The sequence below is a fragment of the Homo sapiens genome, chromosome 22 (genome assembly GCF_000001405.40).
Source record: "Homo sapiens chromosome 22, GRCh38.p14 Primary Assembly".
In the NCBI taxonomy this organism is placed as follows: domain Eukaryota; kingdom Metazoa; phylum Chordata; class Mammalia; order Primates; family Hominidae; genus Homo; species Homo sapiens.
The window spans coordinates 44,499,586-44,516,800 of NC_000022.11; positions in this window are offsets into that span (position 1 = coordinate 44,499,586).

The window sequence follows — 17,215 nt, forward strand, 5'->3', positions numbered from 1 at the left end:
GGAGGCCAAGGCGGGTGGATCACGAGGTCAGGAGATCGAGACCATCCTGGCTAACATGGTGAAACCCCGTCTCTACTAAAAATACAAAAAATTAGCCAGGCGTGGTGGTGGGCGCCTGTAGTCCCAGCTACTTGGGAGGCTGAGCCAGGAGAATGGCGTGAACCCAGGAGGCGGAGCTTGCAGTGAGCAGACATTGCACCACTGTACTCCAGCCTGGGCAACAGAGCAAAAGTCCATCTCAAAAAAAAATTAAAAAAAAAAAAAAGGGAAGTTTCCCTGCACAAGTTCTCTCTTTGCCTGCCGCCATCCATGTAAGACCTGACTTGCTCCTCCGTGCCTTTCACCTTCTGCCGTCATTGTGAGCCTCCCCACCACACAGAACTGTAAGTCCAATAAACCTCTTTCTTTTGTAAATTGCCCAGTCTCAGGTATGTCTTTATCAGCAGCGTGAAAACAGACTAATACACTGGCCAAAGGGTAAGAACTGTTTGATTCCGGGTCTGGATTCCCAGCTTGACCTAGGTGATCCTTCTGCATGGTCAGTTTCAAGCTGGCATGGCTGGAGAGAAAAGATACTGAGAAATAAAAATAAAAATTTAAGCCCCCCCCCCCCAACCAACTGAACAGACCCCCTCTTGGCCAGGGGACCCCAGAGAAACCTGGGAAGCCGAGTTCCTGGCCATGATGGGATGGGAGGTTGGACACACTTCATTATCTGCCCCCGCTCCATAACCGATAACCACCATTAGGCTTTTTTCCTTAAGAGTTAAACAGAAACAAGCCTCTTTGAAAGACTTCAACATTGATACCAACCAACCATCTGACACTGCCCCTCCCTTTTTGTGGCACACAACAACTGACCAGCATTCTTTCCTAGTAAGAGACCACCAACCCTGGAGTGGTTCTGGCCAGCCTGTGGAGGATGTGCAGTGAAAGCTTTTGTGTCCTCTGATACACCTTTTGACATTAGAGGGCTGAAAACTCCACCTTCAGATCACGCTAACACTGCCATTTTTTGTAGGTGCTACCCATGAAGGGGGATGAAGCTCAGTTGCACATGTGCATATTTCTCTTCTCATAAATATTTATAACTCCTCCTGTAGCTTATTGAATATGTATATTTGGCCACCCTGATCAACATAAATTCCTGTCTTACTCTTCCAACCCTTGAAGTGCCTGTTTATGGCTTCTGGCCAGAGGCTACACTTCCCAGCCTATTCAAATGGCCACTCTGCAGGGTGCAACCTTTTATGATAAATAAAACTCTCCTTTCCAGGTTTATGAACCTCGTCATTCTTCAGTTAACAATACCCAGTATGCCAGTCTTTTGAGGACACAGTATTCAAGGAGGCTGAAGCTGGGAACCATCTGCACTCTTTAGGCAGGCCTGGGACAGAGCTGGATTCACTCAGACCTGCAGTTTTCACTCAAGGGAATTAGGGCATAAGGATGTTGTTACTGAGCAAGTGGTCTTGCTGCCTGATGCACACGGAAGCCGATACATATGGCACCAGCTTTTGAGAAAAGAAAAGCTTTATTGCAAAACTGACCAGCAAGGAGAGAGGAGGTGGGCTCAAATCCGTCTCCCTGATTTGAGGTATGGGGCAAGTTTTAAGGGATCAGGTGGCAAGAGAAAGTATTTATCAATGCTGGCTTGCCAGGGTCTGATTGGAGGGCTTCAAATTTGACCATATGTGGTAATGTATATTAAAGTAGATTTTAGCCCCAGACCTTCCAGGCTGATGGACCCCTTTGCTTGTGAATGAGTTCTGGTTTTCAACTTCTGGTCATGTCCCAGTCTTCTTGGTTCTAAGAGGACGAATCATTGGTTCTGGGTGTTGTTGGAGGTCAAAGTTTTTTCTACGGCACATGCCCAGGCTACATGACTTGCAGTTTTGGGCTCTGTTCTACCTAAAAGGCAGCTTGACATTTTGTTACCAACAGGGTAGGCCCAGTTTGGGCTGGTCCCACAACTACAGTGTCAGAACTTGGAAAGGATACTTGTACCCCAGTGTGCCAAAGTGTGCACCCTTTGTGACCAGGTGAAAACTTCTAGAGCATGAAGCAAGAGGGAAATAAAGAAGACTGTGTGTCCTTAAACTTCTTCCATGAGACCTTCTAAATCAGATGGGGGCAGGAGCTGTGTTAACCTTGACTGAGGTCAATGACTTCAAAAGCAGAAATGAGCCTGCAGCCTTCTACCCCTCCAGGTTCTTCTAAACACACAGAGGAATCCCATCCACTCGTGGGAGTCACTCCATCTGTCTCTCTGTCTCTCTGTCTGTCTAGGCCCCTGGATACTGGGCACATTAGTGAAGTGTCTGCTGCAATTCTAAGTGTGGTTGACACCATGAATCTTAAATTCCCAGGTGCATTGAATATAAGATGCACCCCAATTTCAGAAATGATAAAACATTTAAAGAAATAAATAATTTATCTGTATTTCACTTTACTTCCAAGGGGAAATTAGATGGCAGCCCATAAAATAGAGCAAAATAAAAATTAATGGACTTTTAAAAGTAAAAACAGGAGAAGAATATTTGGCTTCTCATCCAGATGAAGCTATGATTCATGCCCTGAGGTGCCTGTCTGGGCTGTGAACACAGAACAATAAAATATGCAAAGAAAATATTGAAAGGATATAAGTGGGCTCCAATCGATAAACAAGATAAACTTCACAATGGTCCAGAAACACAAACTTCTGAGTATTGACGTGGGCCTGCCGGGCTCTGGACCTGAGACATAATAGGGACCCAAGGCTGGGAACACAGCCAGGCTTCCTATTTGAATCCAGGGGATGGAGGAGAGAGGAGTCACCCCTGTGTCAGAAAAAAAGTCTGAAAAATTGGATTCAGTCATTTCATGGGGGTGGGGTGTGACAGTTTATGTGAAAGTGTGGCCCTGGGTCAAAGGAGAACACAGATATAGTCATCTTAATCTCTTGTCCCCTGGTTTAACAAGTAGACCAAGAGGGTCAGGATTCCAAACCACCAACAAAATATATATACACATATATATTATACACATATATGTATATATGTATGTATATGTGTATGTGTGTGTATATATAATATGCATATATGTGTGTGTATATATATATATTTCTTTACCACAGACCAGACATCAAGTGGACCCACCCCAAACTGCTAGATGGGGGAAGGGAGTACCAAGAGAGAAAGAGAGACAAAGTCTTTCAACACAAAATGAGTCTGAGATTCAAAATTCTGAAGCCCATGAAGACATCTTATGCTAAGAATAATAGTCAAGAAAAATCAATAACTGTAAGGTGAATTAACTCCAGAGGAAATTAAAATAATAGAAGAGTCTGAAAAAAACAGACTTTAAAGTAAGTATATTTGGGATGCTCAGTGAGAACAAGGAAGGAATAATATTTGTGAAAAGAACAGATTGTGGAGAAAAAGCCATATTGTACCAAGATCAGGTACCTGTGAAAAAGTACCTTTTAAAAGAAAATGTAGTTGATTTCCATTTCCAGTGAGATGGAGTAGATGCACTCATGCCTATTCTTTGCAGAAAACGTATCGAAAAACAGCTTTGAAAAAAAAAAACCACAAGATGCAGTAGGTGGAGAGAAGGCACCTCAGGACCTAAGGAATAACACTGTGGTGAGTTCCTCGAGTTTTCTTTTGCATCATATAACCCAGACTTGGAGCTGAAGAAGCTGGCAACCCCGAAATGCCAATGGGTGCAGACAAAAAAAAAGCACCCCCTCCATAAAAGCCTGCTCTCTCTAGACAAAAACAAACAAACAAATAAACAAAGTGGGGGGCAGGGGCAGCCTAGCAAGAGAGGAAACTTAGACAGTGATCACTCTACTCTAGCCAAACACTGGCAACACTCCTCAAATTTATCTACAGACTCAATGTGATCCCTATCAAATTTCCAGCTGCCTTTCTGCAGCAACTAGTGTGCTGATTCAGAAGTTCATATGAGAATTCAATGGACTTACAATAGCCAAAACAATTTTAAAGAACTAAGAGGGTTCACGCTTCACAACTTCAAAACATATCTGTAAAGCTATAGTAATTAAGAATGTGTGGTACTGGCATACATCAATGGAATAGAATTGATAGTCTGGAAATAAACCTTAACATTTATGGTTAATTTATTTTCAAACAGGGTGCCAAGACAGTTCAATGGGCAATGAAGGGTCCTTCCTGAGATACCCAAAGGAAAAATATAAAATTAGACCCCTACCTCACACTATACACAAAATTGACTCAAAATGAATCAAAGACTTAAATGTAAGAACTAACACTATAAAACTCTTAGAAGAAAACCTAGGAGTAAATCTTCATGACCTTGGATTGAGCAGTGGTTTCCTAGAAATAACAACAAGTACAAGTGACAAAAGAAAACACAGATTAATTAAATTTTACCAAAGTTAAAAAACTTCTATGTTTCAAAGAACATATCAAGAAAGCCAAAAGACACCAACCCACAGAATGGAAGAAAATATTTGCAAGCTACATATCTGATGAGAGTCTAATATTCAGAGTGTATAAAGAACTCCTACAACTCAATAATAAAAAGATATCCTAATAAAAATGAGCAAAGGAGTTGAATAGACATTTCTCCAAAGAAGATATATGAATGACCAATAAGCACATGAAAAAATGCTCAATATCATAAGCCATCAAGGAAATATAAATCAAAACCACAATAAGATGTCACTTCACACCCCCACCCCCATATTGCCATACTCTGAAAGACAGTCAATAACAAATGTTGGTGAATATGTTGAAAAATTGGAAACCTCATGCACTGCTGGTGGGAATATATAATAGTGCAGCTACTATGGAAAATAATTTGGCAATTCCTCAAAAAGTTAAACCATTCCTAGATGTATGCTTAGGTGCATTGAAAACATATATCCACACAAAAATTTGTACAAAAATGTTCATACAACCATTATTCCTAATAGCTTCCCCCTCCCACGAAAAGGTACCAACCCACATGTCCATCAATTGATAGATGGACCAACAAAATGTGGTATCACCATACAATGGAATATTAGCAAGCTATAAAAGGAATGAAATACTGATACATACTAAAACATGAATGAACCTTGAAAGCACTGTGCTAAGTGAAAGAAGTCAAGAACAAAGGCACATATTGTATGATTTTTATTTATATAAAATGTCCAGAATAGGCAAATCCATAGAGACAGAAAGTTGAGCAGTGATTGCCAGGGTCTGAGGAGAAGGAAGGAAGGAGAATGACTGCTAATTGATATAGGGTTTCTTTTGAATGATGAATTGTTCTAGAATTAATATTAATGGCTGCACAACATTGTGGCTATACTAAAAACTACTAAGTTTATTTAAAATGTTATGGTATGTGAATTATGTTTTTGAAAAAAATCAATGGTATTTATGATCAAAACTCACATAAAAATGAGAATAAAGGGGAACTTCCTCAACTTGATAGGAAGTATCTATAAAAACCCTATAACTGACATTATACTTAATGGCCAAAGACAAAATGCTTTCCCCCTAAGATGGAGAACCAGGTAATGATGTCCACTCCCACTATTCTCATTCAACATAGTACTGGCAGTTCTAGTCAATGCAATAAGGCAAGAAAAGGAAATAAAATACATACAGATTGAAAATAAGAAATAAAACTGTCCCTATTTTCAGAGGCATAATTGTGTATGTAAAAAATCCCAAGGAATCTATACAACAAACAAACATAAAAACTTCCTACAACTAATAAGTTCAACAATGTTGCAGGATACAATACGAACATGCAAAAATCCATTGTATTTATATAGACTAGTAATGAACACTTGTACAGAAAAGTTAAAAATACAATATCATGGGCCGGGCATGGTGGCTCATGCCTGTAATCCCAGCACTTTGGGAGGCCGAGGCAGGTGGATCACCTGAAGTCAGGAGTTCAAGACCAGCCTGGCCAATATGGCAAAACCCCATCTCTACTAAAAATACAAAAATTAGCCAGGCATGGTGGCAGGTGTCTGTAGTCCCAGCTACTCAGGGAGGCTGAGGCAGGAGAATTGCTTGAACCAGGGAGGTGGAGGTTGCAGTGAGTCGAGATCACGCCACTGCACTCCAACCTGGGCAACAGTGAGACTATTTCTCAAAAAAAAAACAACACAAAAAAAAACCCCGTATCATTTACAGTAACTCAAAAAAACCTCTCAGATGTAAATCTAACAAACTAGGTACAGGATTTACATGCAGAAAACAACAAAAAAACTGATGAAAGAAATCAAAGAAGACCTAAATAGAGACACACTGTGACATGGATGGTGCTGTGGTTTGGATATGATTTATTTGGCCCTGCCAAGTCTCCTGTTGAAATTTGATCCCCGTTTTGGAGTTGGGGCCTGATGTGAGGTGTTTGGGTCCCCGGGGGTGGATCACTCATGAGTGGCTTGGTGCCATTCTCACAGTGGTGAGTTCTACTGTTGCTTCACACAAGGACTGGTTGTTATAAGAGCCTGGCATCTCTCTCCCACCTCTCTCTTACTTCCCTTCTCACCATGTGAGCTGCACATGCCAGCTGTTCTTTGCCTTCCACCACAAGTGGAAGCCGCCTTCTGCCCTCACCAGAAGCAGACGCTGGTGTCATGCTTCTTGTACAGGCTGCAGAACCATAAAAGCCAAACAAACCTTTTTACTTTATACACCACCCAGCCTCGGGTGTTCCTTTATAGCAACACAAACAGACTAAGACAGATAGGAAGAATCAACATAGTAAAGATGTCAGTGGGCCGAGCGAGGTGGCTGACACCTGTAATCCCAGCACTTTGGGAGGCCAAGGCGGGTGGATCACTTGAGATCAGGAGTTCTAGACCAGCCTGGCCAACATGGTGAAACTCTGCCTGTACTAAAAATACAAAAATTAGCTGGGCATGGTGGTGGGTGCCTGTAGTCCCAGTTACTCAGGAAGCTGACGCACAAGAATCGCTCGAACCCGGGAAGCAGAGGTTGCAGTGAGCTGAGATCATGCTGCTGCACTCCAGCCTGGGTGACAGAGTGAGACTCCATCTCAAAAAAAAAAAAAAGTCAGTTATCCTCCAATCCTCCAAGTTGATGTGAAGGTTTAAAGCAACATCTGCCAAAGTCCAAGGAAGACTTTGTGTAGCTATAGAGAAGATTATTCTAATATGTATATGCAAAGGCAAAGGAAGTGGAGTAGGTAAAATGATTTTAAAAAAGAAAAATAAAATGGGAGGTATTAGTCTATCCAATTTCAAGACTTACTACGTAGCTACAATAATCAAGACTATGTTATGTTGATGGAAGGACTGACACAAAGATCAATGAAACAGAAAACTCAGAAATAAACCCACACACATATGCCCAACTGATTTTTTACAAAGTTGCAAAAGCAATTCAATTAAAGGAAGATAGCCTTTTCAATACATGGTGTTGGAGCAATTAAATATCCATAGGTTTAACAAAGAAGAACTTCTGAGTCTCACATTTATAAAAATTATCTCAAAATGGATCATAGACTTAAATGTAAAACATAAAGTTATAAAACTATATATACAGGATAAATTATATATCTGGGATGAAATCTTTAGGATGTAGGGCTAGGCAAAGAATTTTTAGACTTAATATCAAAAGCAAGATCCATAAAAGGAAAAATTAATAAATTGGACTCTATCACAATTTAAAACTTCTGGTATGTGAAAGAGGATGAAAATACAAGCTAGAGACAAAGAGAAAAATCTTTGCAAATCAGATATCCTTTAAAGGACTAGTATCTAGAATATATAAAGAACTCTCAAACTCAACAGTAAAGTAACAAACATCCGATTATAAAATGAGCAAAAGACATTGAACTTGCATTTCACCAAAGAGGAGATACAAATGGCAAATGAGCCCATGGAAAGGTATTTAACGTCATAAGCCATTAGGGAAATGAAAATTAAAACCATAATGAAATGTCACCATGCACATCTAAGGATGGCTAAAATGAAAAATAGTGACAATCTCTAAAGCAGGTAAAGATGCAGAGAAAGTGGATACATTGCTAATGGGAATGTGAAGTGGTACAGCCACTCTGGAAAACAGTCTGGCAGTTTCTTAAAACGAAACAAAACAAAAGCAAACAAAAACTAAGCGGGCAACTACCATACGACCCAGCAATTGCACTCCTGGGTATTTATCCCAGAGAAATGAAAAATTATGTTCACACCAAAAACAGTACACAAATGTTTATAGCAACTACATGGCCCAAACCTGCAAGCAACCTAGACATTAATGATTAGAAAAACTATGATATATCCTTACCACGGAATACTCAACAAAAGAAGGAACAAACTTTTTATACATGCAACAAATGAGTTGAGTTTGTAGAGAATTATGCTGAGTGAAAAATGTCAATCCCAGCCGGGTGCAGTGGCTCACGCCTGTAATCCCAGCACTTTGGGAGGCTGAGGTGGGCGGATCACCTGAGGTCAGGAGTTCGAGACCAGCCAGGCCAACATGGCAAAACCCCATCTCTACTAAAAATACAAAAATTATCCAGATATAGTGGCACATGCCTGTAATCCCAGCTATTCGAAAGGGTGAGGCAGGAGAATCGCTTGAATCCAGGAGACAGAGGTTGCAGTGAGCTGAGATCGCACCACTGCACTCCAGCCTGGGCAAAAGAGTGAGACTCAGTCTCACTCACTCACTCGATCAATCAATAAAACGCCAATTCCAAAAGATATTATTCCCCTTTTTTAAATTTTAGATTTAGGATGCAAATGTACCTATGTGTTACATGGATATATTTTATGTAACATTCTTGAAGTTAACAAAATAACAGATTAGTGATTGCCATGGCTTAAGGAGGGGGTTGGGGCAGAGGAAAAGTGGGTGTGGCTCTACAAGAGCAACAGGCAGCCTTTTTGGTGTCATGACTACATCAGTGTCAAGATCCTGGCTGTGATATTGCACTATAATTTTGCAAGATGTAACAACCTGGGGAAATTGAGTAAAGGGTACGATGGATCTTCCTATATTATTTCTCAGCAACTGCAAGTGAATCTACAATTATCTTGAAATGAAAAACGTTTAAAAGAGAAAATGTGGCTGGGTATGGTGGCTCACACCTGTAATTTCAGCACTGTGGGAGGCTGAGGTGGGAGGATCGCTTGAGCTCTGGAGTTTGAGGCCAGCCTGGGCAACATAGGGAGACCCTGTCTCTACAAAAAATTAGAAAATTAGAAAATTACCTGGTCCGGTGGCACATGCCAGTAGACACAGCTACTCAAGAGTCTGAGGTGGGAGGATTGCTTGAGCCCAGGAAGTCAAGGCTGCAGTGAGCTGTGATCATACTACTGCATTCCAGCCCTGTGGGCAATAGAGCAAGACCTCATCTCAAAAAACAAACCAAAAAAAAAGAAGAAGAAGAAAAAGTAAAAGAAAATAATTGAAGTAAATAGTTAATAGAGAGTGTAAATTTTAGGCTGGACACAGCTAAATAAATCATGAATTAGAAGGAAGTACTGAATAATTCATCTAGAAGGCAGCAAAGACACAAATATTTTGAAAAATATGAAAAAGGTAAAACACTTGGAGGATAGAAAAGAACAAAGAAGGAGGAGAAACAATATCTGATAAGATAAAATAGCTGAAAACTTTTCCAGAACTGGAGAAAGATAGGAGTCCAAAATTAAAGTGTCCACATTCATTAAATCCAGGCTGTATTAGTTAGTCATTGCTGTGTAACAAACTACCCCTATTTGTAATTCGTTAAGTCCCCATTTTTATTGGTGTATTTTGAATGCAGAGCCAATAGGACTTGCTGATGGGCTGGATGTGAAGTGTGAGAAACAGCAAGGACTTAAGGCTGCCCCCAGGTTCTGTAAACGTGGAGACATCAACTGAAGCAGCAACAAGGGTGAGAGAAATAGGCTTGGCGAGGAGAAGATCACAGATTGTTGAGCTTGGAGTGGGAGCTAAGCTATGTGGATGTAAAGGCATAAGAATGGCACAATGGACTTTGGGGACTCAGGGGAAAAGGGTGGGAAGGGGGTGAGGGATAAAAGACTACAAATTCGGTGCAGTATGTACTGCTCGGGTGACAGGTGCACCAAAATCCCACAAATCAACACTAAAGAACTTCCTCATGTCGCCAAACACCACCTGTTCCCCAGTTACCTATGGAAATAAAAAATGTAATAAATAAATTCTCCCAGTGGGATGATATCAGGCTGGCTCTGGAATATGGGATTCTGGAGTTCTGGAAAGAGGTCCTTTGGAGAATCATTAATAACCAGTATTTAAAGCCCAATCCTGTGATCACCTTGGCAGAGAGTGTAAACAGGAAAAGGAAGAAGGCTGAGAATTGTGCAGGCCATGGTTTAGAGGCATAGGGTTTGGGGAGGAGCTAGCAGAGATGTCAGCTGAGGAGTGGCCAATGGGGCAGATGGAAAATCAGGCAACTGCTGAGCCTCAGAAGCCAAGAAAAGGCTTCCAGGAGGAGGTGGGGTGATCGATCATGTCAAGGTCTTAGGAAAGATAGGGTTGCCATTCAAACTGGGATGCTTTTGAGAGTTGCTAGAGATAATTAAAATAATACATTTTCTGAAATATTATGTATTGCCTGACAAATTAGATTGTTGGCCAGGCACGATGGCTCACGCCTGTAATCCTAGCACTTTGGGAGGCTGAGGCAGGCGGATCACAAGGTCAGGAGTTCGAGACCAGCCTGGCCAATATGGTGAAACCTCATCTCTATAAAAAATCCAAAAATTAGACAGACATGGTGGTGGGCGCCTGTAATCCCAGCTACTCAGGAGGCTGAGGCAGGAGAATCGCTTGAACCCGAGAGGCGGAGGTTGCTGTGAACCAAGATCGTGCCACTGCACTCCAGCCTGGGTGACAGAGCGAGACTCTATTTCAAAAAAACAAACAAACAACAAAAAAATTAGTTTGTTATAGTGATGGACCTATAAATGCCAGCATTTTTCTAAAAACTTTTTTTCTTAAGTTTGGTCTTACTATTCTTACTTCTTTGATAAAATCACTTACAGTCTTACTCAAAGTTGCATTCTTTTGTTATAAATTACATCTGTGGACACTAATTAACTGTTCTCTAAAGACCATATTTTAATTGAGAAAATCTTCTTTCTATAGGTGCTGAGGTAATAGGTAAGCTCAGAAAAAACTCTACTAAATGGAGGATATACTGAGTCTTTCTTTTTTTTAATTGAAATGTGTAAATATTCCAGCTCAAATATCTCCATAGATTTCAATCATGCTGTTTCCATCCAGGGTAATTTTCATCAACAAATATTTTTATAAGCCAAAACTTATCCCCTCCCCCCTGCCAAAATTGATTATCCTTTCGAATGTTTAATCAAATTTAGATGCTGCAAAACAGGAGACCTTCTTGATTTCCTTCCATTCCAGTACTGAATATAAATTTTTCCAATTAAAACTAAGAATCTCATCAAAAGTTTCTTCCCCACATGTTGAGCTATTCCAAAAACAATTATGGGATTTAAAAATTATACCTCGTACACCATTGGAGCTCTCAGCATTTAATTTCTTCATCTCCTCCCTTGCTTTTGTAGGAATGAATTTCAATGTTTCTCTATTGGCAAGGATTGTTTCTGATAATTATAATTCACTAGAGCTTCAAAGCTCAAAATTCTTGGCACTGGTTTATTGAACACATTGATTAAAGACTTCCAACAAGGCGGCAGGGCCCTCTGCCTAGGAAAACCAGAGACCTTTGTTCACATGTTTATCTGCTGACCTTCCCTCCACTATTGTCCTATGACCCTGCCAAATCCCCCTCTCCGAGAAACACCCAAGAATGATCAATAAATACTAAAAAAATTTAAAAAAAAAAGACTTCCAACAAATTTGAAAACAGTGCGACAGAAATTTAGAGGACTTATTTATAAAAAGTTGCGTCCCTCTCGAGGACATTAGGTTGATGTACAAAGGGCTCCAACCTCTCGAGGGTCTGATTAATGACTGCAGCAAAGACAGGACACCTTGGAGGCTGAAGTCTATTTTGGTACTCAGCATTAACTTTGTTGCAATATTTTTTGTAGCCCAATTTCCAGAACTGTATATATAAAAATATTTGTAAGGCCAGATGCGGTGGCTCATGCCTGTAATCCCAGTGCTTTGGGAGGCCCAGGCGGGCAGATCACCTGAGTTCAAGGTGATCTTGAACTCTGAGGCAGAGGTTGCAGTGAGCCAAGGTCATGCCCCTGCACTCCAGCCTGGGTGACAGATCGAGGCTCCATCTCAAAAAAAAAAAAAAAAAAGTTGTAAACATTTGTAACAGCTTCTACTGTTAAAATATCAGATAAAATGTCAGAGATGCTTTGACTGCAAATATGAATAACAGGTTCACCTCAAACAATGCCAAATACACCTCTGCTCTACAGGTCTCTTAACTTGGTGAGAACATCGCTTTTTGTCAGGACACTGTTGCAAATTATCTGTCTTATTAAACTCTCCTCATCCACCTGGATTGAGTTTGTCTTTTGTTTTCCTTTTGAGCTTAGTTATTTTGTTATTCAAATCTTCTTCATCTTTCCTAAATTTTTATCTTCTTAATCTATCAATGGCTGAGAGAGGTATACTAAAACTTCCCAACATGGTAGTGAATTTATCTCTCTGTAATTCTATCAATTTTTGCTTTTTGTATTTTGATTTATATTATTAGATACATGCAAAATTGTAATTGTTACAGACTCCTAGTTAATTGAACTGTCCATTATGAGCAGCACTTTTAGTCTCTGGTCAAGTGGTTTATATTAAAGTCAATTGGTCTGATATTAATATAGCTATAGCTTTCTTTTAGTAAGTGGCATTCAATTTTTCTATGCCTTTACGTTTTAGGTGTATCTATTGTTAATAGCCTGTAGATAGATTTTTTTTTTTCCAAGATGGAGTCTTGCTCTGTCACCCAGAGCTGGAGTACAGTGGCGCAATCTTGGCTCACTGCAACCTCCACCTCCCGGGTTCAAGCAATTCTCCTGCCTCAGCCTCCCGAGCAGCTGGGATTACAGGCACGTGCCACCATGCCTGGCTAATTTTTGTATTTTTAGTAGAGACGGGGTTTCACCATGTTGGCCAGGCTGGTCTCAAACTAATGACCAGATTTTTTTTTTAATTTCAGAATGACAATCTTTAACCGTAGAGTTTTACAAGTTTACTTCATTTATGTATAGTAGTTATAGTTCTATTTGGATTCGTTTCCGCCAACACATTATGTGCTTTCAAATTGTGCTACCGATTTTGCTTTTTTTTCTAACCTGCCTTAACTCCTGTTGGATTAAATTCCTTTTCCTCATTCCAGTATCTCCCTCTGTTAATTTGGAAATTATAGTTTCTATTTTTATTCCTTTAGTGGTTGCCCTAGTAATTTTAGTAAGGAATTCTGAGATTCATCACAATCTTTACTCTTTTTCTAAACAACACAAGAACCTTAAACACTTGAACTCTGATCAGTCTTTTCCTGCTGTATAATATTGATGAATAATATAAACACATATCTTTTAAACCCCACAAAATGCTGGTTTTCTATGTAATCAGTTTTGTTTTGATTTACTCACGTATTGAGCACTGTTTTCACTCATCATTCTTCCTTATGTATCTGACTTTTCTTTACAATTCTTTCTAGTGACAATCTTTTGGGAAAAATTCCTGCAGATTTTTCAATATTTGAAGATGTCTTTATTTTACTTCCATTTTTTTCTTTTTCTCCTCCTTTCTTTCTTTCTTTCTTTCTCTCCTTCTCTTTCTTTCTTTTTCTTTCTTTCTTTCTTTTTGAGACACAGTCTCACTCTGTCACCAAGGCTGGAGTTCAGTGGTGCAATCTTGTCTCACTGCAACCTTCGCCTCCAGATTCAGGCTATTCTTGTGCCTCAGCCTCCTGAGTCGCTAGATTACAAGCACCTGCACCCATGCTTGGCTAATTTTTTATATTTTTAGTAGAGACAGGGTTTTGCCACGTTGGCCAGGCTGGTCTCGAACTCCTGGCCTCAAGTGATCCTCCCGCCTTGGCTTCCCAAAGTTCTGGGATTACAGGCATGCGCCACCACTCGTGGCCTTTTTTGTTTATAGAGACAAGCTCTCACTTTGTTGCCCAGGCTGACCTTAAACTCCAGGGCTCAAGTGATCCTCCTGCCTCAGCCTCCCAAAGTGCTGGGATTACAACAGGTGTGAGCCACCACACCCAGCTTTACGTTCATTCTTAAAAGTCATTTTTGCTAGGTAGATATTTTCTTTATGCATATTGAAGATATTTTTCACTATTTTCAGATTACCATTTTTGCTAGTGAGAGCCAGCCATTGGTCCCTCCTACCCCTCCTCCTTTTTTTTCTCTCTCTCTCTCCTTCCTCACATCTCTCTCTCTCTGTCTCGCCCCCATCCTTCCTTCCATCTCTGTTATTCTTTACCTAAGTGTGAATTTCTTTTATTTATTCTGTTTAAAATTGATAAGGTTTCCTGATTTTAGGGATTGGTGTCTCACATTCATTCTGGAAATTTGTCTAAACATCTCCTATGTTGCTCACTCACATGGACTCCCTAATCCCCTTCTGGAACATAGGGGATGCTAACTCTTCTCATCCTTCTCGGTCTATGCTCCATGTCTATTATCTATGTCTCTCAATGCCTCTTTCAGATTTTCTGCCACTTTGTCCCACTGTGCCATGTTCTAGATAATTTTTTCAGGTACAGTTTCCAGTTCATTGATTTTTTTTTTCACTTTGCCCTGCTGTATTGGAGGATGTGACACATTTATTTCCACATCTTTTGCAAAAATCAATAACACATGGATAAAAGACCTAAAGACGAGTAGCAAAATTCTAAAACTTTTAGAAGCAAATATAGGACAGTATCATTTGGCCCCAGGGTTACGAAGTCTCCCTTAAGTAAGACACCAAAACTCAAACTACCAAGAGAGATAGATAAATTCAGTTAATCAAAACATGTAACACTTCCGCATGTGCAAGCATGCACACACACAAATAACACAAAATGAAGGTCAAGATGAAGGCCAAGGTCAAGATGAGAGAAGATCGTTGTTTAAGTTATGACCAGCAGTACATCCAATAGAAAAATAAGGAAAGACTATGAAGAGTTACTTTTTAGAAGAAGAAACCCAAAAGGCCAGCAAACAGACTGGAAAAAAAAGAAAAAAGAAAAAAGAAAAGAAAAGCTCAATTTGACTAACAATCAAGAAATTGTGGCCAGGTGCAGTGGCTCACGCCTGTAATCCCAACACTTTGGGAAGATCCCCAACAAGGCGGGTGGATCACCTGAGGTCGGGAATTCAAGACCAGCCTGGCCAACATGGCAAAACCCCGTCTCTACTAAAAATACAAAAAATTAGCCAGGCGTAGTGGCTCATGCTTGTAATCCCAGCCACTCGGGAGGCTGAGGAGCAAGAATCACTTGAACCCAGAAGGCGGAGGTTGCAGTGAGCCAAGATCATGCCACTGCACTCCAGCCTGGGTGACAGAGTGAGACTCTGTTTCCAAAGAAGAAAGAAAAAAAGAAGAGAAAAGAGAAGAGAAGAGAAGAGATTGCAAGCTAAATCCAAAACGGGTTTCCATGTTTTTGTATTGTCTTTATTTGTTCATGTGTGAGGGGACCGCTATTCAGTGTTTTTGCTTTTATCTAAATTTTAGGTTAAAGAACATGGATAAAGAATTGAATTTTTCTATAAGTATTGTTTTACTAAAAACAGCAATCTCTTACCCACATCCCCATTTCCCACTTCCCAAAAACGTACTCTTTTGCCTGATTTTTTAACATGTAGCTATAAATCTATCAATATCATTCTTAGATTGTTACTGATTACTTAGATTAGGCATTATCTATCAGCTTCCCATTGTGAAAGATGATGATTTAGCTTCACTTCATGCCTGCAAACACTACACAATCTCCTCTTTCCTGACTTCTCTCTTAATCCTCAACCTCTTGCTTTCTCTCTCCACCCCTCACAGATGTGTATATTGTAATTGTGTTTAGATCAATATCCAATACTTTTTATGACTATATAAGTATATTTACAGCTGAACCATACAGTATTCTATGATTACTTTTCCTTTCTTATATTTTTTTCCTGAATTCATGATTGTCTTGTTTTTTATTTGCTTTGTTTTCAATTACATATTGCTAATTTAGTCTCACATTTACCACTGATTGTCTAAATGGCCTCTCAATATATTTATACGCAACAGAATTCTAACACTTTTACGTTATTGGTGATAATTCTCCTAGAGAACTTTAATATGCCCCAATATGAACTGGTAATCCTCTACATCCTGGGATCTGCCTTCATGAATCCCTTCTAAGGATTCTCTTCATTTCTCCTTCAAGTTGAATTCCCTACTTCTTTTTCTTCTGCCTTCTTTCTTTTGGTTTATGTCATTGTTTAGTGGTGAAAACGCCTTAGTAGCTTTCTCAGAAAAGGTGTGTTAAAAGTTTTTGGTTTTGGTTTTGTTTAAAATCTAATGTCACATTTCAGCTGGTTTTAGAATTTAAATTCTAAAATTGAAATGCCTTCAGAATTTTGAAGGCATTCTTCTATTATCATCTAACTAGCAATATTGCTGCTGGGAGGGCAAAAATCATTCTGCCTCAAGATCCGTGCTTCCTCTTAGGAAGTGTGTGAGTATTTGCTCTGTTGTTCTAAAATTCTAAAAAATTTATTTTTACCCATTGTGTTGGAAACTCATTGAGCCATTTCAATCAGAAAACTCAAGTCCTCCAGTTCTAATTTGCTAGACGAGTTCCTTCTGTCTTTTCTCCTTTGTTTCTCTTTCTTACCAGACAAGCTGAACTGCCTGTCCCCACTAATGAATCAGAAAAAAAATGCTTGTGAACCAAACTTTGGTTAAGCTTGTCTCCTTCCTCAAAATTCAAAAATCTCTGAACTTTGAACATTGCCCTCCACCACCTCACCTTAGCTAACTTACAACCCTTCCTAAGAATAGGCTGGCCTCACAATAAAATATTCTTTGATCTACTATTTAATCACACTATCCTTTCTTTCTTTCTTTCTTTTTTGAGACGGAGTTTTGCTCTTGTCTCCCAGGCTGGAGTGCAATGGCGCAATCTCAGCTCACTACAACCTCTGCCTCCCAGGTTCAAGCGATTCTCCTGCTCAGCCTCCCAGGTAGCTGGGATTACAGGTGTGCACCACCACGCCCAGCTAATTTTTGTATTTTTAGTAGAGGCAGGG